Below are 25436 nucleotides of genomic sequence, written 5' to 3'. Positions count from 1 at the left end.
AGGCATTACTGGAAAGTTTACTGTACTTTGGATCCATAAATATTCTTTTTTTTTTTTTTGTGCTTCTCCTCACTGTTAAGAGAAGTCTGCTGGACAAGGAGTTTTGAGTATGTGCATTTAGTGGGTAGATAGTGGTAAAAGGAAAAAGAAAAACATGCACTGGCATGAAAGGTAGTAGTATACACTCCTCCGTTTTTCCTTTAAAGCTTTAAGAGGTAGTGTGGAATAGCAGAAACAGTCCTTCCCTATATTTCTAAAGATCTGGGTTCAAGACCTGGCTTTTGCCATTTACTTGCTCTATGAGTCATATCACCTCTCTGTGTCAATATTTATGTATTCACTCACCACTTATTGAGCTTTGTCTGTCATACACTGCAGATACAACAAAACTGTCACAGCCCTGCCTTCTTGATGCTTATGTTAAGACAATGATAGTGACTGAGAATGGCGTAGTAGCAGTGTAGGTGGCGAGAAATCGTGGGATATGGGACATATTTTGAAGCTAAAGCTGATAGAATTGGTGATGGTTTAGATGTGGGATGTGAGAGAAAGATGTGTCAAGACTGACTGCTGGGGGGTTTTGCTTCTACAACATGGTGAATACTGGCATTTACTGAGAGAGTGAATGCTGGGGAGGAGGGAGGAGGTGTGTGTTGATGGTGTGGGAATTCCAGGTTGCTTTTTATATAGATGATGGTTTGGATGCCTGTTAACTTCCAAGTAGAGATGCTGAAGAGGTAGTTGGGATTTTTTTTTTTTTTTCTTTTTTGAGATGGAGTTTTGCTTTTGTTGCCCAGGCTGGAGAGCAATGGTGTAGTCTTGGCTTACTGCAGCTCCCGCCTCCCAGGTTCAAACAATTCTGCTGCCTCAGCCTCCCAAGTAACTGGGATTACAGGCATGCACCACCACGCCCAGCTAATTTTGTATTTTTAGTAGAGATGGGGTTTCACTGTGTTGGTCAGGCTGATCTTGAACTCCTGACCTCAAGTGATCCACTCACCTTGGCCTCCCAAGGTAGTTGGATATTTGAGATCGGAGTTCTGAGATAGAAATTTGGACATTGTTGGCATGCATGTGGCATTTGAACCATGCAACAGGGTGAGATCACTTCAGTAGATAGAGAAAAAGTGAAGATTGAGGCCTGAGTCCTTGGGCCACCGACATTTGGAGACTGAGAAGTGGGGGAGCTCCCTCTGGCCTCTGAGAATGAGAATGCTGGAACCTGACCTCTTTTCCTCATTTAGGTTGTTTGTAGGGATCATGTGAGATAGGTACACATAAACACACATCAAAAACAACTTAGTGCTTAATTGCATGACTAAATATAGGAGTAAGGGAGGTTACATGGATAAATCACTTTTTCACTTGATTTTTCTTCTGAAAGTCTATTTTATGGGATTGGGTGAGGTGCGTGCAAATTTGTTATATGGCAGAGGTTCCCAATGTGTAGATGTGTAAATGTGGGATTTAAGGGAGTGAAGACAGGGAGGGTATTTGGGAAATTTTACAGGGGGCCTACTGTACAATATCTGCTTTCAATACGATTATTTCTTTCTTTATTAGTCCAGAAATATATATAGCAGTAGGATCCATGAGCTATTACCTTTAACAGGATTCTCATACTAAAAAAATTTAACACTGATATTTGACATATGTAGAGCTATGTACATTTATAAAAACATGTATGCATTCTAAATGTGAATCGGATACAGTTGACGTTGTCTGCTTTTGTGGACAGATATCTGCTTGGATTCCCAGGTTTTCGTAAGCTGTTTGAACTTGTTTCATCTCAGTCTGCTCTGCCCCTTCTCTGTCACCGTCCTCGCACTGGAGATGAGGCAGGGTTTCCTGAACTGTGGGCTCTGTTCTGGGAAGACCCTGTAGCCAGCTCCTAGAGAAGACTTGCAGAAAGATGTGGGATGAGAACAGGAAGATCAAGTGGGTTGAAGGGGAAAAAACAAGAAGGCCGAGGCAAATAAAGGCAGAGGATCATTTGGGAGGGAGTTGAGGAAAGGGGCCTCCACTGTTCCCTAGGTGACCATATTTTCTCTCCCTCTTTGGGTTATTTTCTTTGTGCCTACCTGTTTTATCAGAATTGCAAGGATTTTTCCCAGGTGTTTGGGTTGTTGAGTAGTAGGTAAATATAACTTTTTCCGGGCATTACCTTCTGGAATATCTGCTTGAAGGTAAAATTGCAAAAATGGCTCATTCTCCCCTACTTTTATGAACACTGTTTTAGTCTAATCTTATTATATTGAAATCTTAGATTTTATCCCATGCTTGTGTTTATCCAATTTTATAGGGTGTGTGTGTGTGTATATATGTGTGTGGGGAATGTGAATATATGTGAATGAATGCCTTTTCTAGAGAATCTGGTATATTAAGTCATCTACCCAAGAAGAAAAGTCTTCTGAGATTGATGCTGTCAGATAAATCTATAGAATTTGAGAAATGAAAGAGAGCATAGAGAACATCTGATCCGGACTTTTCCAAATGTATATTCCATTAAAAAAGAAGTGCCTTGGTCTGATGATTTTTTTGGGAGTTGGAGACTCACTGCATTTATTAACTATGAAAGGCTTAAGAGCTCTTGCTGTTAAAAATATTATTTAACTATGTTTAACCAGTGTTTCTCCAATTTTTTCACTATGGACCCTCATTTTCCTTCTCTCTCTTTTTAGAAGGATATGTACATAGAACAGTTACTATCATTGCACAGAAGTACAAGATTCCAGAAAACATAATTTGGGAATGCTAATTTAATTCTTACCTTCAAATTGAATGCGATACTTCATTTCTGTTGGTTTGTGTTCCCATATGTAGTATGAGCAGGTTGAATGAATTAATCAATTACTGTGTCACTCCTGACTGTGACATTTTCTGGTTCTGATTCGTTAAATCAATATTTAAAAATTATATCTGTTTCTATATTAAAGAACCTTGTCTTTTTTGTTCCTTACTAGAACCATAGTGTCTAATACAGTGCCTGACACATAGTAGTGTCTCAGTAAATGTTACTGAACAAATATATACCTGTTAGATTCAGAGCACTGAACTAGCTATGTCTTGAGGCTGCAGAGAGAATGATCTTGTTTTTGCTCTCAAGGAACTTGTAGTCAAGTCATTAACTTTCCTAAGAGCATGGAATGTGCCATGGAGAGGTCCCAAATTAGAGCTTGATTGTGATAATCTATAGGACAAAGATAGATTGGACATTATTTCTGACCCTGTGTCAGATGTGTGGATTACAACACAGCTGGGTTATGTTAACATAACTTTCATGACAAGAAGTGTCTTTCAGTAATAGTCACTGCAGCAGCCACATAGTCGTTTTATCCCTGGCAAAGACTTTATGATGCTATCAGCACTAAGAGATTGGAGCTAGTATTATTCCCATTTTAGTAGATAAAAGAGCTAAGGCTCAGAGATTTAGAGACATGTCTAAGTTGACATACCTCCTGACTGAAAAGCCAGAATTAGGACCCAGGTATGTGATTCTAAACCTTGTGCACTTATCCACTAGGCTTCCTGTCCTCTCACCAATACTAGTATCTTTCATTGTCTCATTTGTATTAGAAGCTCACCTTGAACAGGCTCAGAGAATTACACATTTCCAGTCTTCATTGTGTCCCTGCTCTGCTCCCTCTGTCCCCATGCCATGAGGGCTGCTTTCTTTACAGCTGATGTGCTAGCTAGGGTGAGTTTTGGAGCAGGTAATAAAAAGTTTACAGACTTTGGGCCAGATGCGGTGGCTTACACCTGTAGTCCCAGCACTTTGGGAGGCCGAGGCCGGTGGATCACCTGAGGTCAGGAGTTCGAGACCAGCATGGCCAACATGGTGAAACCCCGTCTCTACTAAAAATGCAAAAATTAACCAGGCGTGGTGGTGCATGCCTGTAATCCCAGCTACTCGGAAGGCTGAGGCAGGAGAATCGCTTGAACCTGGGAGGTGGAGGTTGCAGTGAGCTGAGATCATGCCATTGCACTCCAGCCTGGGTGACAAGAGCAAAACTCTGTCTCTTTGTCCTTACCAACCATGTTGGCAGCATCCATATTCTAGGCTGCAGATAGGAGAAGGAATTAAGAAAACGGGGCAAAGACCTTACAGTGGTCTCCAGGGTAGAAGCTGCCACACAGTACTTTTGCTTTTATCCTGTTGGCCAAACTTACTCACATGGTCATATCTTGCCGCAAAGGAAGCTGGCAATTGTAGTCACTATTGTGAGCATTCTTGTGCACAGCTAAAAATTACTGTTGAAGAAGAGGAAGGACAATGGCATACAATCAGCTGTCTCTTCCACCACTGCGTATTGGGGTCTGGTGCCCATTCACTCCCCTCTTCTGACTTTTGGCTAGTAGCTAATCCTTTTCCCTGTCCTTACCTTTATCCTTTAACTCCCTTCTTCCTATTATTTAAATGTTCTCAAGTCTCTTCCATCTTAACATGCCATAACACACACACACACACACACACACACACTCTCTCTCTCTCTCTCTCTCTCTCTCTCTCTCACAAATTCATGAGTAAAGGCACCATGTCCCCAGTGCTCATGTTATATACTCAGATCCTTGTGCAGGGCATAGTACATAGGGGTTTTTCAACAACTCTTTGTTGAGAGAGCAAGTGGGTGAGTGAAGGGTTGAAACATTTCCCTCTATCCTTTATCCTCGGATTGACAGAGAGATGCTGCTGTCTGTCTTAACATCTATGGCACAAATGACAGGACTGATGATTTTACTCCCTTTAGTGCTGAGGAGGCTGTTTGGGACCATGAAGTAGTTCTAGAAATGTATCGTGCTGAGAAGAGCACTAAAGGGAGTAAAATACACATCAGTTCTGGTTTTGTTGCTTACTAGCTACAATGACATTTGGCAAATTATGTAATGTCTTTGAGCCTCAGTTTCCTCATTTGAGGAAGTGAAGACTCCATTGACCTCACAATGATTAAATTAGAAAACTGTGATAAAGAATACACCCCTGATAATATTATTTTGGCTTCTTATGGTGATTTTTAAGATTAAGGAGTATCATCATCCCTATTTTATTTCTCTAAAATAATATTTAAAAAAACGTAAATGCCCTATACAATAGAGTATTATTTGGTCACAAAAAGAATGAAGCACTGGTGCATGCTACAGCATGGATCCCCTGAGGACATTGTGTAGGTGAAAGAAGCCAGACACACACATTATATGATTCAATTTCTATGAAATGTCTAGACTAGGCTAATAGACCAGTGGTTGCTAGGGGATGCGATAGGGGAGAATGGAGAGTGACATGGGGTTTCTTTTTGGGGTGGTGAAATGTTCTGGAAGTAGATAGTGATGATGGTTGCACTCTTTTGAGATTACACTAAGAACCACTGAATTGTGCACCTAAAAAATAAGTTAAAAATTTAAATGTCATTATAGGGCATTATAATTATAAGTAAGAGAATACTTTTAAAACTGTGTCTAAGTTTTGGTTCACAGTTTGTCAATGATTCTTCTGTAACAGAAACCAACATCTGGTTGGTTTTTTGAGTTTTTTCACCTGCTGGCTGACCTTACTTGACATACTGTATTAGACTTTCTTTATCTTTCCAGGCCTACGCAACTCTCAGCACACTGGGAAATCTCAGGGCATGGTGTTCCATTAGAAAGAAGAGTAAGCATGTGGGCTTCTTCGTGGGTACCATGATGGGAGAGAATAGAAAATAAGAAGTTAAATAATTCCTCGCAATTCTGTTAGGCATATAAACTACACATTTAATATTATAAAACAGTTTTATAAATGCACTTGGTCTATGGTGTCTGCATGGATTAGGTGAGTACTTCTGGAAGGAGGTGGGGATAGTCAGAGAAGGCATGCTGGGGAAGGAAATGTTTAAACATTTGCTTCTTACACAGACATTTATTGAATATCTGGCATGCCTTAGGCATTGTTATTTGGTGTTGTATGTACCCAGATAACAGCTGCAGTCCCTGCCCTCAGGGTGCTCAAAGACAGCGAAGACAGATGATTCTACAGACAGTTAGGGAGCAGGATGTAAGTGCTACTCCAAAGGTAAGCACAGGACTCTCTGAACGCCTCACTTGGGAAATGGGAGAAGTCAGGGAAACCTTGATGGAGATGATTCCTGAGCTAGGAACTGAAGGATGAGTGGGGACAGCAAAGGCTTGGAGGACAAAGTCATGCTGGATTACAGGAACTGCAGGTAACTCAGTACGTTTGGAGTTCAGGGCACAAATGGGGATGAGCCATGAGAAGTTGATTACAAGTAGCCTTGTAAGCCATGTCACCTAAGAGAGTAAGAAATAAAAGAGTTTTAGAGCATGATACTTCCAGATTAGCAGTCTAGAAATAAGACTGGCTGCATTGTAGAGACTTGGAATAGAAGCGGACGAGAATGAAGGCAGAAACTTTCAGGAGATTGTTGCAGTAATTTGGGAGATAAGTGGGTAGAGACAACAGAGTTAGAACAGAGACAACAGAGTTAGAACGATTAGGGCTTGCTCCCCAAGTGGATATGGTCGCAGTTCCTAGGACTCCAAGATCTCTGTCCACTTCGCTGTCTCACTTCATGTCAGTCTGACCCCAGCCTGCCTTCTAAGTCTTGTTTTCTTCTCTTCATGAAATGCTTAAGTCTTGTGCTTACTGTCCCCAGAACTCGCTTGGTGATTTAATGTCTGTTACCTTTGATTACACCTTTATCTTCACCTAGAATGGAGCTCATCTGTTCCCTTTACCTTCTTAGATCTCTGACTTATGAATCCTTTGGAATAATTCCATGCTAGAATGATCTCTTTGTCCTCTGAAGTCATAGCACTTAATATCTCTATCAGTCAATGACAAATAATTATGTTTTGCCTTGTCACATCTCTTAATTGCTTTGAATTGCTAGTCAATCTTGAGCCATTGCAGCAGGTAGAGAGGTGAATTGGCTCTCCTGAATTCCTACTCCCAGCCCTAATTTCCTGTATAACCCAGGGGGAATGACTTTTCTCCCCTCATTAGTGTAGTAACACATATTTGATGCAGAACACTTAGAAAATCTCTAAAAGTGTGCAAAATGAAGTAACTACTATCACAAACACCTTGGAATACTCACAGGTAATTATTCTTGTAATGTCCTCCCCATCCATTTTGTCACCGTTTCTTTAGGATTACATGTGTGCGTCTATGCATCATAGCTAGGATCATCCTATACATGCTGTTTTTCAATTTGATTTTTTCATTACCATATTGTAAGATTCTTGTGTCAAAACATAGGAGAATCTTCAAGTCCAAATTGAAAGTGGAGCTAAATTGTTCTCAGGGAGAGTTGTACAGATGAGTATCCCCTATCTGAAATGCTTGAGACCAGACAATTTTCAGATTTCAGATTTTTGGGATTTTATAATATTAGCACTATGCTTACCCATTGAGCATCCCAAATCTGAAAATTCAAAATCCTCCAATGAGCATTTCCTTCAAGAAATGTGGTAGTCAAAAAGTCATATTTTGGAGCATTTCAGACTTCAGATTTTTTGATTTGGGTTGCTCAGCCTTACCAAAAACTGAATAGTGACTATCTCTGGGAGGAGGGAGGGGAACTTTGGCTTTTCAGTGATATCTTTCTATAATGTTGAATGTGTGCATTTATGATGAGTCTAAATGATTTTTAGAGTTGTCACCCATAGTTTATAGGTGACAGTAATTTATACTTCTACCTAATCCAGGCTTATATTTACATTTAAAAAGAAGTATAACACCAACTTTACTGACTAGATAGATAAACAATTTTAATTTACTGAAATTTCACCTTTTCACCATGATTATAGGTCCTTTTTCCATTAGTTGTTTCCATTTCCTTTGCTGTCTAATGACTTAGATTTGAGTCCTAGGTAATAAATACATGTGATCTTTCACAAGTCACTTAGTGTTTCTAAGCTTTAGTTTGCTTATGAGTAGAATAAGAGGAATGATACTTCAAATTATTGTGAGGATTGAGATCAAGTATTGAAAGTGCTTTGTAAATTGTAAAAAGTATATAATTATTGATTTTTTATTGATTTTTATATTAGTCAATGGTCATGAGCAGTTAAGCCAACTTTGCTTTTTTAAAAATTCATTTGGAGAAAGACTAAAAAGGCAGAGGTGCCTTCATTAATATTTATTTTGGTGCAATGTGGGATCCATGAGATTTGGGTTTGTGCCACATTTCTGCTGCTAATTATTAGCTATATATACAGCTGAAATGCACTGAACAAGCACAGTTTTGGCCAGGCCCAGAAATGTTCAGGGAGCACCTGGCTGGACATACATCAGAGAGCTTGGTGACCTGATAAAGCATTCATGCAAGCTCCTGGAGACTGTTTAACTGGATGACAGTAGAAGGAAACTATTTATGCAAATTTTGCTAACTGAAGTTCTCCCACACCCTTGAGTCCACATTTCACAGGCTTGTGAGATGGAAATGGGTCAAAATCAGGTTCTAATAATCTCTTTGTCATCTGCAGTCATGCCTGAGAAGGTCTGATATGGTCTTCTGAATCATCAAGGGAAGGTAGAATTTCATCCAACATGACTTTTGTGCATTTGCTGTATTCAGCTCCCTGGAAACATAGGTGCCTTAATTTTATCAGTTATCCAGAACACTGAATTCTGGATAATAGAGGAACAGGGCTGTGTAAACAACTCTGCTGAGTAATAGATGGCCTCCTGGCCTCTGGTTTCTGACTCTGTATTCCCTTTTATCCAAGGACAAGATGTTACAAAAATAATTCAGAGTGACTCCCAAGGGCAGCCCCGTGAACTTGCTGGTCCCTCCGACTGTGCTAGCAGAGGAGGATGAGTCACCAGCAGCAGAATGTTGACTCTCCCAGTGCTATTAGTGGATGTCCCAGCCAGACGCGACAACCAGGAAGACAAGCTTTGGGAAAGTTCTTTCTGACTCATTAACATCATGATTTACACAAGAAAACCTCTAGCTTCTCATTTTATTTTATTTTTTAAAGAAGTTTCCTTTTTGTATGTGTGTATAGCGAGGTGGGGCAAAGGTATGGATCCCTCAAATGAATATTCAAATTAGCTCTTACCCATAGCAGTATTTGAACTGTTTGCTCAGTTAAATTTTATTGTCCTTTCTCAATGTACAGTGCCTATATATCCATCAAAGAGTAGCAGATTCATTAAGAATCTTTAAAAAGAAGGACATTATTTTTACACAGTTGAATTTCAGGTGTCCTATGCCCATGCCTTTCCCATCATTTCCTATGTGTGAGAACCCCCACCCCACGTAGCACACCTTCACATACTGGGGACTTTCCACTTGAGGAATTCACATGAATCTGGGGATCTGCATTCTCCTTGGGTAGTATCCCCTCAGAAGAAAATCCAGACTCCTTAGGGGGCATTTGTAGCCTGGGCCCAGTTTTCCTCCTTACCTCATCTTTTTTGGTTCTACACAAACCTGTTTAGTCTTCAGTCAAGTGCCTTACCCTCCGGCTTTCCTCCTCCTCCTCCTCCTCCTCCTCCTCCTCCTCCTCCTCCTCCTCCTCCTCCTCCTCCTCCCTCCCCCTCCCCCTCCCCCTCCCCCCTCCTCCTCCCCCCCTCCCCCTCCCCCCCTCCTCCTCCCTCGTCCTCCTGCTCCTCTTCTTTTTTTTTCTCTTTTTCTTTTGGGATGCAGTCTTGCTCTGTTGCCCAGGCTGGAGTGCAGTGGCACAGCTCACTGCAACCTCCACCTTCTGGTTTAAGCGATTCTCCTGCCTCAGCCTCCCAAGTAGCTGGGACTACAGGTGCTCACCACCACACCTGGCTAATTTTTGTATTTTTAGTAGGGACAGGGTTTCACCATGTTGGCCAGGCTGGTCTCAAAGTCCTGACCTCAAGTGATCCACCCGCCTCGGCCTTCCAAAGGGCTGAGATTGCAGGCGTGAGCCATCGTGCCCAACCCCACTTTCCTTCTTTTGCTATTTCTTCATGTTTCCCTTATTTGGAATGTTGTCCTCACTCAGCTCCTGTTTTCATCCTGTTTGTATCCCACCTTCTTCGTAGTGATAGTAGTAGTATTGCATGCCTGCTGTGAGCCAGTTTTCCTACTGTGTTTATGTATATATTTTTCCAAGAGTTTAAAATAAGCCTGTAAAATAATTATGATTATCCTTATTTGCAAATGAGAAAACAGTCATAGAAAGTTAAAAATTATTCAAAGCCAGCTACTAAGTGGCAGGGCTGAGGTTTTCCTGAGCCTGAACATTCAACCCCACCATGCTGGTTTTCCCTGCCGTCCTCTGGATCCGATCAAACTCACTACACCAGCCCCACTCTTAGACCTTCTCCAGACGTGCTCTTTTCGCTTGGTCGGGTGTGTCCTGTGTTTGGCAATCAGTCATGTATTATTACCTTGCTATGTGCTTGGGTTGCTAATTCTTCTTTGGCGATATATCTTTTGTTGTTTTCTTTTCTTCTTACTGAGCTGTGCATCGCAGGCTTTACACAATGCGTTTTTGTTGATTTTACTTAATTAATGATGTCCTGGAACAAGTGAGTTATTTCTCCTAGTTATATTTAGCCCAATTAGTTATTTACATCCTACCATAATATTTGCCTCCACTAATTGCTAAGTAGTCTTGCAAATTATCCTTCAGTCTTCTTTTTCTATGCTTTTATTCCTGGGAAGGAAAGACAAAAGAAGCTCCGTGGCTGGAGTCTGTAGTGTATCCCATCCCCTGCAAAGAAACCAACAGAAAAATTAAGTGGAATGACCAGGCATTGCCACTAAATAGTTTGATACTTTGAAATGGATGCCAGTTTGGCTAAATTCAAGTGTTGTCTGTTAGACAAGGGCTATTCGTAAAAGAATTGTGAATGTAAGCATGCTCTGGACTGTGCTTCAAGGATGCAAAAAAGTGTCATTGAGACTGCCTTCCTATGTGCAGAGTGGGAAAAGGAGCATTTATCTTGAGAAAGAATAACTGCATCTGATCACCGTTTTCAATTCATTGATAGGGAAATACAATTAAAGATTCCTAACCTATTTCAGGATACCCATCTACCATCTAAATCTCCAAGACTTGGATAGCTTCCCCGTTCCCGAGTAGTTCCCCATTGACAGGCATGCACTGAACTCTTCATTTACGATAACCGTTGTTTCCATGAAATACACTGAAAATTTTGCACAGTTGCAAGGTACACAGAATGGATTTTGAATTCTTTTGGTTGTACGAAGCATCCCTAGATGTGATCATGAAGTTAGACACCTGGGACTGTGAGAAAATAAGTCATGTGTAAGAAGAGTGGTTTGGCAGAATTTTAAAAATAGACCTTCCATGCTTTGTGGGTATAGTTTCTACATATTCTAGATCTTTGTGGTACCATTATATGGCTGTAGGAGGTAACCAACTGAAGAGCTTTCTGGGAGGAGAAGCTTATTGTGAAATGAAGACTGTGCATATGCGTTGTATGGGTCTCAGTCCAGCTGTTTGTATTGAAACATCATAGGCTATACATTGTGAGAAAAGAGAAGTAATCTTGTGGTAACCAAAGAAGTTTGAGGTGAAATATGTCTCACTGTTTCATATTCAGCTGGGGAATGTCTCACTGTTTTATATTCACTTTCTTATATTTGCTGAAATAAAAACAAAAATAAGGTAAATTTGATTAGTAGTAACCTTGTTGGGTCCTTTAAAACAGTGTTTTTCAAACTGTAGTCTGTTAATCTTTACTGGGCTGTGAAATCTGTTTTGTGGGTCTTGTTTAGCATTTAAAAATGTATTAAATATAAGAAAATGTAGAATAGAAGGTAGAGGGAATGGCACATAGTAAGGATCAATATCTTTTTGTGAAACTTGTATGTCATATACACACATGTGTACTACAAAATATATTTTTTACGGTGGATCATGGTCAAAAAAGACTGCAAAGCTGTTTTAAGCATGGCTGTCAGCATAGGTTCCTAGGATATCAGACAATGATGTGTAACCCTAGCTGGATTCTTGGCTGAATGCTAGGGGAAACTGGGGCAGACTGGGGAGGAGTGAGAGGTGGCACAGTGGCTCCAGAGGCGCTGTGGTGACCTGCCGATCCTGCTCTGCCCTGATGCTGCTGCCGCCTTGGTGAAGACTAAGTGCATTACTCATTATATGGATAGGGTTCGCTGAGAGCTCTGCCAGCAGTTTAAGATTGGAGTCTTTGTTGGCAGGGCAGTTTCAAAGCTGAACATAAAAACTGGTTACAGTTTTTTGGTTGAGGGGGCCAAGTGTAGGGGGGCCATGTAGAGAAAGATTTTTCTTGAGATTTCCTGGTTTTTTTTTGTTTGTTTTTTGAGACGTAGTCTTGCTCTGACACCTAGGCTAGAGTGCAGCAGCATGATCTTTGCTCTCTGCACCCTCTGCCTCCCGGGTTCAAGCGATTCTCCTGCCTCAGCCTCCTGAGTAGCTGGGATTACAGGCACCCACCACCACGCCCGGCTAACCTTTTTTGTTTTTTGTTTTTTGTTTTTTTTAGTAGAGACGGGGTTTCACCATATTGGCCAGGCTGGTTTCGAACTCCTGACCTCAAGTGATCCGCCCACCTTGGCGTCCCAAAGTGCTGGGATTACAGGCGTGAGCCATTGTGCCCCGCCTCGTTTTGTTTTGTTTTCTCTCCTAACTTACATTTTGAGGCAATAGCTGAGTACCTTTGGTGCATAGACTGAAATGGACATTTGCCATTTGGGGGGTTGTCTAGCATTGGAACCCCCTTTGTTTCTAGAGTGGTCTCCCATTGTTGCTGTGGAAGCTGAAGGAGGTGCAGACACATAACTGAGGGCAAACTAGGTTCAACCTCTTCGATTCCTCCTCGTCAGGACTTTGAATCTGGAGGGAGTGGTGCAAACATACAGAGGTGGCTTGAGATCATTCATGGAAGCAGCAGAGTTGGGAGTCCAGTCCTGGTGATGGCTGGTGACCGGTGGAGGCTGTGCGAGCAGTGGTGTCCTTATCAGGCTGTTCCTCTGTCCTTCTGTCTTTCCCTTAAACTCATTTTACCCTTAGGTAAGCAGAGCTGGTTTCTGTTGATTGTACCCAAGAACACTGAGTGGATATAGGAAGCATGTTAGATTTGTGTCTGCCCTAAATGAACTTAGTATGTGACAGGTGAGAAGAAGTAGGTGAATGCTTGGTAGACACAAATAGTAAAATTTAGCAAGGGGTGGAAGGATTCAGGGTTGTTTTCCTTTGTATTCCTTTAAATTATGGGTACCTTCAAGCTTTGTCAGATGACTTATCAGCAGGAGATTCTATGTCTTTACATTGTGACATTTTGGAAATACATGTTAATAAAAAATGAGCTATGTTAGGTGCAGTACAAAATGGTTTCAAACTTTTATAAGTTAGGGTTTGTTTTATTTGTTTCTTTTTTCAGTTTTAAGCTTTTTAAAAGCCTTGCGCATACTCACAGAAAACTGATTTCCTAATGGGTGTGAGCATTTTATTTTAGCATTAAGAGATTTAGGGAAATCTTGAATCATCATCACAACAACCCTGTAAAGTAGATACTTCTATTATTCTGAGGAAACAAACTCAACAGAGGTTAAGAAACTGGCCTAAGGTCTCAGACAGTGGGTGTTAGAGCTGGGATCTGGACCCAGGTTAGGGTGACTCCAAGAGCAGGCTTTTAACTGCTTCTATAAGGAACTTTGGAGGGCATCCAATACTTTTTCATTATGCAGGGTTTGAGCTCAGAGAGGTTAAGAGGCTTGCTCAACACCAGGCAGGTCCTAGTGGATCTGGGCTGGAACATGGGCCTCTTTCTGACTGGTGGGAAGAAGCTCTCGCACAAGCTCTGTTCCTCTTGCACCCTCCCCTCCTTTCCTTGCTGTCTGCCTTTTTCCTGCAAGATTCTTCCTGTCTGCATACTCTTTCCTGCACAATTGTGCTTGTGATTTTCCTTCTTCCTGGCCTTTATTTTTATTTTTTTTAAAGAACAGCTGTACCTTTCCTCTCTCTTTTTCAGTCTTCTCCATTTCTGAAAACTGAGAGCAGATTCCTCTCTCCTTAATCCCCTCTCAGCCCAAAGCATGGCCCTTGTGTCCTCTGTTTTTGACTCCCATGGTTCTCAGTGTCTGTCTCTCAGCATGCCCTCACAGCCTCTTCCCTGGGGTTCCCGTGTATATGTTAGTCTTGCCAGCTGTCAGTAGATTGTAAGATTTTTGGCATGCTCAGATGTATTTGTGTTACTTCTTTGGATTCCCCTGAAGTCCCACACCTTGCCCAAGGCAGAGTGGTAAATGGAAAGGGGAGTGAGGCTACAGCTGAGAAATGTGTTTGAGACCTATCTCACCTCTCACTGGCCAGTTGACTGTGGGAACGCCTTAGCCGAGTCTTCCCATCTGAAGGGGCTGTGAAACTCGAATGTGGTTTAGATGTGAAAGCCCTTTTTAAGCCATAAAGTGCTATATAAATGCAAGGTTTTATTGTGATGGCACAAGTGCTTCAGAAGTATTTTTGGGATAAATGATTAAAAAGCACATATTGTGCCTGGGTGAGTTGGTTCATGCCTGTAACCTTAACAATTTGGGAGGCTGAGATGGGAGGATTGCTTGAGCCCAGGAGTATGAGACCACCTTGGGCACCATAGTGAGACCCCTTTCCCAAAAACAACAACAACAAAAATTAACTGAATGTGGTAGTGTGCACCTGTTATCCCACCTTCTTGGGAGGCTGAGGCAGGAGGTTCACTTGAACCCAGGAGGTCAAGGCTGCAGTGAGCCATGATTGTGCCACTATATTCCAGCGTGGGTGACAGAGCGAGATTCCATCCCCCTCCATCCCCCCCAAAAAAGCACATACTATGAAGACAAGCCATTCTCCCCACCCCGCCATGTTTTGAGTGTCCATTTGTGCCACCAAGTCTTTGACCCTGGGGTAAGGATATGGATGGCTTCACTAAATCTTATATTCATTGCTCTTTAATAAGATTATGGATGTGTTAGTGGTAATTAGTTTAAAAGAAGAAAAAGTTTTTTAGAAAAGGAAAAGTAACAAAGTCTCTTGGTACAATGTGGCTTTTAGAAAGACACTTACTGACTTTAAGCAAAGTACTGTATTTACTTTTATCAAAAACTGTCTCTCACTGAATGCAGGCTCCTTGGGAGCAGTGCGAAGCACCGAACCATTGAGCTGGCATTGATTATTTAATCATCCCTAGTTTATTGTAAATGAAGCAGCACTTACGGTTCTGGGGTATTCCTGGAATTGCTGCTATAGTTAGAAGTGAGTTATTCTGTGTGGCAGGAGTGGCATATAGAAAAGCCATAGTTCTGACTTCCTGACAGGAAAAATAGCAGATTTTGTATTTATATGATGTCGTCCTTTTGGCTGGAATCCATCAGCTTTACAGTATCTTGTGATGCTTTCATCAGAACTGTTATTCCACGTCTCAGCATAGCAGTGGGGTCCCAGTAGCAATAGATACAAGTCATTTTCGGTGGCTCTATGGGTGTGAAGCCACTGGCAGTTTCCCTGGCTTGTTGTGTAGGTTAGGCTGTTAGGAGGCTTCCTGTTCACATGTTGCTAGGACTTTCCTCTCACACTGTGGCAGTGGTGCCAGGGCAGAGCATTAGTAGTGGGCAGGAACACAGGGAAGGCTGGGGCCATGCAGTGATTTTTTAAATGACAGTCCTTTCAGTCTACAGAAGGAAGAGTGTTGGAGTAAGATCAGTCTCCTGGGTGGTTGTTAGACTATGAAAAGTACTAAAAAACCAGAGAAGACAGTGGTGTTGCTGATGGGGACAGTTTAGAGCAGTTCTTCCCCACTGTGGAACGAGCAGGGTCCTTAGAATCAGTAGTCACGTGTTTGACTCCTGGCACTCTCGCTGATTAGCGTAAAACCTCTCATGCTTTTTATGAGAATTAAGTGCGAGTGCCTAACTCCAGGCTCAAGATATTGAAATGCTTAGTAGATATTGTTTTTTTTTTCCTTGACTGGAACTGTATATTTCATCAAGCTGTAATCAGTTTAACAAATTATGGTCAAAATATGAGTGCTTACTGCATGCTAAACTCTGTTGGGCATTTTACATGCATTGACTGACTTAACTCTTAATAGCCCAGTGAGATAAATGCTATTTTTATCTCCCCACTTACACCAAGAACATTGAAGGTTAGGGATATTAACTAACTTGCCTAAGATTACAATAGCTAGTCGGTGGAGACGCCAGAATTCAAACCCAGGTTGCAATGACTCCAGCCCGTGCTCTTAACTGCTTTGCTGTGTCATCTGAGCTTTATGAAATGGGGTTTTGATTTGTATCTAGGCTTTTGCTCAGAATCCCTATTTAGACTTTGCTCTTCGAAGCAGATTCATAGCCCACTTTAGTCCTGTGCCATAAAGACTATTTTATATTGCGTCAATACCTTTTTGTACACTTACACATCTATAGCCTCTTGCAAAAAGGGCATTGTAGGTACTTGATGAAGAGTTTTTGAAAGTTGTTTGTTTTTAAAAAGAGACAACATCTTGCCATATTGCCCAGGCTGGACTCAAACTCCTGGGGCTTAAGCAGTTCTCCTGCCTCAACTTCTCACTGAAAGATATTTTTAATCCTTGTACCAACCCTCTAGGCAGGATGTTTCCTCTTAGGTTAATGGGTAGGGAAACTGGCTTAGATGAAAATGACTTGCTCATGGTCACACTTGCTAGTATAGAGTTAGTGGGAACCTACACACCTTGGATTACTGTGCTTTTTTTCATTGCATAATGTTGCTTACTTTGTACCTTCATCTTTCATTTACAGCTGTTACCGAACATACTTCTTGATCACCTAATTTGTGCTGAGGATAAAGCACTAAATACAAGACAAAAAAAAAAAATCCTGATCTTCCTGTAGTTTTCATTGTTGTGTTAGGTTTCCTTACCAACGTTAAGACTGCTGCCTGCTGAAATAGTTGATTAAGGCTTAAGATTTTTAGTCTTAAAATTTCTTAAGATATTAAGAAGCTGATTTCAGGGCATTTTCTAAATTACATATTTTTCTTTCAGTTTTTCTGAGTTCATACCTTAATTCATAAACATTTTAGTTGTATTTTCTACTTCAGAAATCAAAAGGTTTGATTCCTTTAAGGCAAACACAAAGTAATTCATTGTAGGTGTGATGGTTTCTTTTATATCCATAGTATTTTAATTCTTGTCATTGAGTTTCACTGTCAACCAGTCTGTTTTTAACGGTAAAAATCTGGCAGTGGCCCTTGGCCAAAGTGGTCTCATTCTGATGATCATATTTATGAACATTAAAATAGTCTATTTTTATTTCCTTGTCCACTATCCAAAATGTGTGTTCTTCCCTTGCGCAGATACCAGTCTTTCAAAAGATGCCCTTGAAAATTTAAGAGAGTTCCAGTTTTTTCAGATAGATTTCTGGAATTTTGCATCTTGGAAAAATTTCTGACATTTTATCTATTGCAGTGAGGCTTTGTTCCAACCCACAGAATTGTGTCTTGTTTCTTTTATTTTTTCCCTTGTTGAGAAAGTGTCAGATATACTTGTCTTTTTTATAAGACTGTGGTAAACTGAAGCAATTTGAGTAACCCACAAAATTTCCCTGATTTTTTTTTCATGTAAAACAGCACCTACAAAATTGAGCTACAAAAGTAATCCTCTGTCACCAAAAGAAAGGTATTTTCTTTCAAATCCTTGACAATTTTATAAATAAATTCGGGTGGAAGAATTCACTGCTATCACCAAAAACCTTCTGATTACTCTTCCTGGTCCTTCCTGTTTTCTAAGTGTCTTTATATTCATTTGAGTTGGGAATTGAACCCAGTGAATCATGTTCTTTTTAAAGGGTATTTTGTGATTGCTCCTGGTGAATCTTTCTAGCATTGATGATTTTTCCTTTTGTATATTGCAGCAAGAAACTTGAATTTATTTCTTGGAATTATCCAAAGTGTTTATTAATATAAACTGATCTTGCTCCTTTTCTACTTGCTCTAAAAATAATCAGCTAGATCACATTGTCTGGTTTATTTTAGAAGAAATATTATTTGGATGAAGCCATTACACAAATGCTGTAGCACACACACAAAAAAACCGCTTGTCATCCTGAATGAGGACAGTTGTCATTTCATATAAAGTGGATCAGCAGCCTTAGGTTTAAAGTGCTTAGAACAGTGCCTCCCATGTCTTCTAAGTGCTATGTGGGTGTTTTCTATTTTTATCATCAGAATGGCAATTCCCTGAGAGTAGAGATTTTGTTGTTATTGAATCGGCATTCAAAAGCATCACAGTTAATGCATATTGTCTTGAAATTCTGTTGCTGTTCTTGTTTTCTCGAAGAGTTTAATCTCTAGGCTAAGCATCACAAATCTATACCATTTTACTGTTGTGTTCAATAATACTGGAGGTCAGTTTGAAGATTAGGTATAATGTGATTGCAATGTAGTATTGCTTGCAGAAGAGACAGAATGATTGGAAAACCAAACTCCCCTTGATTACTGGTTTTTGTAGAATTCTAGTTCTAAAAGAATCTTAGTGATTTTAGTCAGATCCTTGAATCTTACATGAGGCTAAGAGAAGTTCCATGACTCCTAAGTTGAAGTAACACATGGTCTGATAGTGCATATTAAAAAACTTTTTAAGTTCTGGCCAGGTGTGGTGGCTCACGCCTGTAATCCCAGCACTTTGGGAGGCTGAGGCGGGCGGATCACGAGGTCAAGAGATCGAGACCATCCTGGCCAACATGGTGAAACCCTGTCTCTACTAAAAATACAAAAAATAGCTGGACGTAGTGGCGCATGCCTGTAGTCCCAGCTACTCGGGAGGCTGAGGCATGAGAATCACTTGAATCTGGGAGGCAGAGGTTGCAGTGAGCTGAGATCATGCCACTGCACTCCAGCCTGGCGACAGAGTGAGACTTAGGCTCAAACAAAACAAAACAAAACAACAACAGAAAAACACCTTTGTAAGTTCTAAAAAGGTTTATATGGTAGCCCTTCTGAATGGAGCCTGGGCCTGGTGGAACTTACAGTTCTCTTCCTGTCCTAAAAGGCTGAGTTGTGACCCTTTCCGGGTTTGAGGCATGCTTTTCAGTACTCCCCTCTGGTCAGTTTTCACTGATCCTTGGCAGCTGGTAACGGTATGCTGTGAGGAAACCTGGGGTAGACAGGCTCCAGACATGCAGTTAGCAAGCACTGCCTATGGACTGGCTAGTGCTGTTGGGTGCCCAAGTGTAAAAAGGAGTATTGTGAGGTTTTCCTGTTCAAGCAACGGGAGAGACAAGCCTAGCTCCTTTCTGCTATAGGACCTTTTTCCCCACACATGCTGATCCTTTTGCTGAGACTGCTATCTCCGTTTTGGCTTCATGCCCCACCTCCATGGACATCCATTGCATCTTAACTCAATGTCCCTTCCCTCCTGAGCCCCAGACCAGATCACATTCCCTCTATTTTATGTTCTCTACTTTTCCTTCATAGCATTTTAGCTCTTTGTAATGACCTCTTTCTGTACATCTTAGTTTGATTCCATTCTTCCCATTGACTGTAAGCTCCACGTAGGCAGGGACCGTATTGCCCTTGTCCTTTGAATTAGCTTAGTTTCTGCAGAGCTGTTTGAAAATACTTGTTGAAAGAGTGAATCTCTTCAACAAGTATAGCATCTGAAGTCCTGCTTATGAGCAGAAGCAAGGCATTAGCATGTAGCTAGTTTCTAAGTGCTGTTCTGAGGCAGGGCAGGGTGTTTATTCACATAATTAAAACAATTGATTATATTAATTTTTAAAAAACTTTTGTGCAGTGATTTTAATCTTGTTAAAATTGGCCATACCAAAATAGCCAAATCAAAGTCATCACAATCAAATTCATACTTGTCTCCCCTGCCGGGCTTTCCATCATTACTTTTACTTAAGTCTTACCCACTGCAGAAAGCCTTCCCAAGCCAGCCCTTGCCAGTGTCAGTCACCAGAGCTAACAACATCCTGACGCACTCACACTATTGATTTTAGGTTGCTTTTGTGTTTCCATTTGTGCTGTCTCCAACCTTCTATTGTAAGGCCCTGTGGGGATGCTGGCCTCGTGGCCTCAGAGGTAACCCATCTCCCTCTCCCCCTTCGCTGCTGCCCTGTAATGCCTGGGACTATGCTCTTCCTAAAACTGGATTCTGATAAAATGTGTTGAGTGGCCAGACAGAAAACTGAGGTGATAATCACTGTTAATTTGAGAACCAATTTTGAATCACCAAGGTTGGTAGCTTATTATTTGCAAAAATAATTGGATTCTACTGTTAAAGAATTTGTGAGAAGCAACAAGGAAAGCTGTTAAAATAATACAAAGCTCTGTGTGTGTGTGTGTGTGTGTGTGTGTGTGTGTGTGTGTGTAGACAAGGTTGGGGCGGGGTAATTCTAGAAGGAATGAGAAATTAAAGTGCGCGTTTTTGGGTGTCTTAAACTATTGTTCACACAATCAGGAGAGGGGCTGTTGATGGAAAAAGCACACAATCTTCATTTACATTGGACAGGACACTCCATATCGGGAAGCAAAAATCCCTGGCTTCCTTTCTTGATGCGGTGAAGTTAGTATCCTCTTTGATGTTTGCACCCTAAGATGTCTCTCTGTCCTCTCGATGTCCTAGGCCATTTTTTTGTTTTGTTTTGTTTTTTTCCTTCTTCCTCTCAAATGCTTTTTCTTGCCTGCTTATGGTTTGGGCTGCTTCCTTAATGAAAATGCCCTCTTATTTTCAGATGCAATTACCTCTGCCACTGATTTATTTATTTATTTTTGTCTTTAGCGCTTCTCTGAAGTAGCTTTGGAAAGTAGAGAAGAAAATCCAGTTTGCTTCTTGGAGAACACTGGACAGCTGAATAAATGCAGGTATGTAGATTTGCATATTTTTAAAAAAGGAAAATATCTGGCTTTAAAAAAATTGATGAAACCGTGTTCTTGAGGCTGTAGGGCTATTGGTGCTATTGCCTTTAATTTTTTGAAATTGATGTATTTATTCATTCCCAATGTTGAGTATGCTGGTTAAAAAAAACCTCAAATACAAAAGTATAGGAGGTACAGAGTAAAAGTTAAACTTCCCTTGTAATCTCTCCTAGATGTTCACCACTATTAAGAATTTATTGTACGTTCTTCTAGATTTTAATATGCATGTGCATAATCATATTATACATGTTGTGCATATGCATGATCATACTATCCATATTATGCTTTTTTCATTTTGCAGAATGTCCTGTGCATCTTTCTGTGTTGATTCATATGCAGCTTTATGTTATCCTTTTTGACAGCCACATAGTAGTCCTGCCTGTTTTGTTTAGTGAGTCCTCTCCTACTGGACATTGTCAGTTGGATTTTTTTCTTATTTCTTTTTTTTTTTTGAGTCGGACTCTTGCTCTGTCACCAGGCTGGAGTGCAGTGGTGTGATCTCGGCTCGCGGCAACCTCCGCTTTCCCAGGTTCAAGCAATTCTCCTGTCTCAGCCTCCCGAGTAGGTGGGATTACAGGCGCATGCCACCACGCCCAGCTAATTTTTCTATTTTTAGTGGAGACAGGGGTTTCACCATGTTGGTCAGGCTGGTCTCAATCTCGTGACCTCGTGATCCGCCCGCCTTGGCCTCCCAAAGTGCTGGGATTACAGGCATGAGCCACCACACCCAGCCGATTTTTTCATATTTCAAACAATGTGACATCCTGTAAATATATAATTACATGCATTTGCCTGTTTATTTCCTTAGAGTTAGAGGGTGCAACACTGTCTTTGGATTCTTCCCCTGTCACGTCTATAAAGACTCTCAAGGACAAAGGTTTATCTTACATTATGAAGCAGGCTTTTAGCTACTCTGTTTTCCATCACAGTTTTTCAATGTGGGATGGGGTTAGGGGTTCAGTGCTGGGTTTTCAAGTGGTCTTGCTTGTTGATCTGAATTTCAAGGTTAATTATGAACTAACTGTTTCAGGCTGGTTTCCAGAAGATTCTGGTCTTCAGATTTATTTGGAAATTAAACAGTTAAAATTGAATACCTCTCAGTTTGTAGCATTGAGGCATATCTGGTTAATGTCCCTCTTTTCAGAATCTCTCCTCACCAGGGGAGCTAATAGACCAAGCAAATGAATTTGGTGAAGAGAACTGTGACTGCTGTCTGCCCTGTATGACTTTTCTTGTTTGGGGGAGCCTCCTTGGGTCATTCTGCAAGCACCCATTATGTGTAAGCCTCTGTGCTTCTTACGGATATAGAGAAAAATGACTCAGTTCTTATCTCAAGGAACTCACAGCATGTGCATAAGATGCTTAAATTTCCTGTGGCTAGTGCAGTGGGATAAGTTTAGGAGCAAGAAGCGAGGGCCTTAGGGAATGGGATGGAGGTTCAGAGATGGCTTCCTGCAGGAGGCGATATCTGAGCTGAATTCTAAAGAAAGTTGAAGTTTGCCATGCAAGGGATAAGGTAGAAAGATATTCCTATAGAGGAATCAGTGTGAGTGAAGGCAGGAGGGTGAGAAGTAGCATTGGGTAGGGGAGGATACAGTAACACTGACAGCCTTGTGGGTTTCAAGCATGAAGCAAGAAGCTCAGAGTGATAGAAGATAAGGTGAGGAAGGCTGGCCGGCCAGATGATGGAGCAGGGCTCTGTTTCAGAGTCTCAGAATTGCTCTGTAGATTAATGGGAAGCCCTTGGAGGATCTGGTATGTGTTATGGAGAAATTACTTTAGGGGTTTAAGTGAAGGTTGGCTTGGCAGACAGGAAGAAAGTAGTAGGAGTGTGGGGTCAGCGAATTAGTTTGTAGCCCATTGGTATTGGGCAAGAAGAAGAAAGAATGTGTAGGGCTTTCCCTCATTTCTTTCCTCCTTTCTGGCCTTGCCCAAGGCTAAGTTGCTGAGGTTGGTTCTTTGGCCCTAGGTGCTCTCCCTTTGGAGGGTGCTTATGTGAATTACTTACTTACGCACTTTTCACCAGGGTTTTCTAACTGTTCCAAAGTAAGGCCTCCTCCTGCCCTCCTGGTGCTGCGTCAAAGTCCTGCCGCTCCTCCTGGGGTGGTAGGAACCAGGCTCCATTCATTAATTGTTATGGCCCTTCCATGTGACTTATGAACATGAATTGGTCATCATTTTGTGTGCAGTGTCTCAGGTGGGGATGTGAAGAGAGATAAGATACGGTTCATGCCCTCACCATGCTTGCTTTTTAGTGGGAGATGGACATGAAATTAAAATGCTGATTCTTGCCATAAGTCTGTTCAAAGCTTATGTGATTCCAGTAGAAACAGCAGCAGAATTTGTAACTAATAATCAGTCCTTTAACATTGTTGGTTCCAGAATGGGCTACATTTTTCAATTACAACTTGGGTGCAAATGGAGAAAATAAATTCAGGCCATGTCTAAAATTATTCTGATTTTTGAAAATATGGTCTGACCATATTTTCAAAAATACATAATTAATAAATTACAATTCATTAATTAGTATGCATAATTATTTTCCATGGTTTCATCTCTTATGAGATCTGACATGTTTGGTTTCCAGGAAGGGAAGGGGCAGGGGAGAGGTACGTATCCAATACCAACACCAAATGTTTCTGCTTTTTTACCTTCAGAACACTCCCTTTTGCCATAAGAACTTTTAGCACATAGAGTGACCACATAGTCTTGTTTTCCTTCCACAACAGTATCTAAATATAAAAGAGGACTGCAATGCCATGGCTTTCTGTGCTAAAATGAGGAGCTCCAAGAAGACTGAGGTGAACCTGGAGGCCCCTGAGCCAGGGGTGGAAGTGATCTTCTATCTGTCGGACAGGGAGCCCCTCCGGCTGGGCAGTGGAGAGTACACAGCAGAGGAACTGTGCATCAGGGCTGCACAGGCATGCCGTGAGTACTGGCAGCTGCCCAGGGCTGGGGGTTTCACCAACACACTAGTTCAGAAGATCTGGGGGTCTCTGCCCCTTGTAGCGCTGCTGGGCAGAAAGAGTTGTGGACTCTGGAGTCAGGTTCCTCCCTGCCTCTGCCACTGCCACTTGCACGTGACCTTAGGCCAGTGATTCTAATTCTGAGGGTTTCGCTTTTCACTTTCTTCATCTGCAGAGTGGCTTCTTTCTGCTCCGTCACTAATGAACTATAAGATACCAGGGGATGACGCTTGACTTCTGTGGATCCAGGCTCAGTTCTCATTTCCCCACATCTGTACAATTGGAATAATATCAGCACTAGATGAGGTGCTACGTAAAACACCTGGGACTAAGTCCCTGCTCAGCAAGTAGCGTATCTCAATATCTTAATAATTATTCGAAACTTCTCCTAAAAAGTTTGACCCCTCCTTCTGCTGCCGTGACTGCCCTCCCATGCGTGGTGCTGAGTTGAAGTGAGAAGCTGAGTGTTGCTTTGTGGCTTAGTCAAGTTCCCAAGTTGTGAAAAGGACGAGGCTCTCAACAACACAAGCTTTTTTTTCTCCTTTCAAGTGAGAGTTGTCTTAAAGTTAGCCTGTTGCCCTCAGAAGGTGGGAAACCAAAGTCCCTTTCATCCTTTGAACTTGAGGACATTGGCAGTTTTTGCTTGCCTGATTTTAAATGACAAGTTAAATCATAGAAATTAAGTTAAATCACAGATCTAATCCACTTGGATTGTGATGATGGTTGTACAACTGAGTAAATACACTAGAATCTGTTGAATTGTACACTTAAAAATTGGTGAATTTTATAATATGTAAATTATATCTCAAAGCTGTTTTAAAAAGGTTCTATCAACTCGTTTTATGATGATGAAGTAGCCATTTATGATGCCGTACAGCCTGATCCCTACTTTACTTATCCCACCTTTAACCCTCAGAACAACTCTGAGGGGATAGGTTGGTTATTTTAAGAATTGCTTATCTTGTTAGTAGTACAGCTTGTTTAGAAAACCTACCTTCTTTCTGATATTTGTCTTTCTGCCTAAAATCTTCACACACCAGAGTTTCAGGAAAAGGGGAGAGGCTTATGGTATGGGGAAGAGCGTAGTAGGCTCTTACTGACTAAACCTGACACAGAATAAAATGGGCTGAGGTGTATAGATTATTAGTGGGAAAAATCCAGTAATATTGTCAAGTTATTTTGACTAGGCCGCAATGTGTACAAATAACCATCTTTAGACAGCAGCTTTAAGTGTGTTTGTAATTATCAGAACACCTAGATGTAAATCAGTGGTTCTAAAGTTTTTTTTAAGGCTTTGTTTTTTTGTTTTCTCCCTTTCCCCTTGAGATTTGGTTTATATTGTTTATTCTCTTCGCCAAGCTTCTTGCCATCAGCACAGCAGGTATAAACCTCACTCAGTTTGTAAGCAAAGGTCATTGTTGCAGAGTCATTGGGCTGCTGTTAATGAGGGACCAAGGAGCTGCTGGGAAAGAGATGAGAGGAGAGAGCCTGTGAGTCTGAGGATGGACACAGTCGCTGGACCTCCTATAACTCTGGGCTTAGGGTCAGCCAGTTTGGGGTGTCGGTTTCTAGCCTACCTTATAGAAAATGAGTGGTGTCTCTTCTGTAACT

The 25436-nt window shown here is 41.3% G+C and overlaps 1 protein-coding gene across 12 annotated transcripts in view, besides 4 other annotated features; it reads left to right on the top strand.

The window, feature by feature from the left end:
• JAK1 (Janus kinase 1) overlaps window positions 1-25436 on the top strand; it is a 234518-nt gene that overhangs the window by 160683 nt on the left and 48399 nt on the right. For 11 of the 12 annotated variants that reach the window (XM_047419676.1, NM_001321852.2, NM_001321854.2 and 8 more), the window contains 2 exons: window positions 20723-20805; window positions 23589-23787. In XM_047419676.1, coding sequence (XP_047275632.1) covers window positions 20800-20805; window positions 23589-23787 — 205 coding nt within the window. In that variant the 5' untranslated portion in view covers window positions 20723-20799. Of the gene's footprint in view, window positions 1-17573; window positions 17618-20722; window positions 20806-23588; window positions 23788-25436 lie in introns of those variants that run through there. The other variant, XM_047419674.1, reaches the window with a different exon arrangement.
• Window positions 11299-11368: an enhancer, noted in NCBI's record as "active region_1134". NCBI's record gives its function as "activates an Ori minimal core promoter by ATAC-STARR-seq in GM12878 lymphoblastoid cells {active_cell/tissue: GM12878}" and the evidence as "EXISTENCE:reporter gene assay evidence [ECO:0000049][PMID:35858748]".
• Window positions 15350-15399: an enhancer, noted in NCBI's record as "active region_1133". NCBI's record gives its function as "activates an Ori minimal core promoter by ATAC-STARR-seq in GM12878 lymphoblastoid cells {active_cell/tissue: GM12878}" and the evidence as "EXISTENCE:reporter gene assay evidence [ECO:0000049][PMID:35858748]".
• Window positions 23640-23809: an enhancer, noted in NCBI's record as "active region_1132". NCBI's record gives its function as "activates an Ori minimal core promoter by ATAC-STARR-seq in GM12878 lymphoblastoid cells {active_cell/tissue: GM12878}" and the evidence as "EXISTENCE:reporter gene assay evidence [ECO:0000049][PMID:35858748]".
• Window positions 24130-24309: an enhancer, noted in NCBI's record as "active region_1131". NCBI's record gives its function as "activates an Ori minimal core promoter by ATAC-STARR-seq in GM12878 lymphoblastoid cells {active_cell/tissue: GM12878}" and the evidence as "EXISTENCE:reporter gene assay evidence [ECO:0000049][PMID:35858748]".

The sequence above is a fragment of the Homo sapiens genome, chromosome 1 (assembly GCF_000001405.40).
Source record: "Homo sapiens chromosome 1, GRCh38.p14 Primary Assembly".
NCBI classification, from domain to species: domain Eukaryota; kingdom Metazoa; phylum Chordata; class Mammalia; order Primates; family Hominidae; genus Homo; species Homo sapiens.
This window is presented reverse-complemented; position numbering and strand designations above follow the sequence as displayed.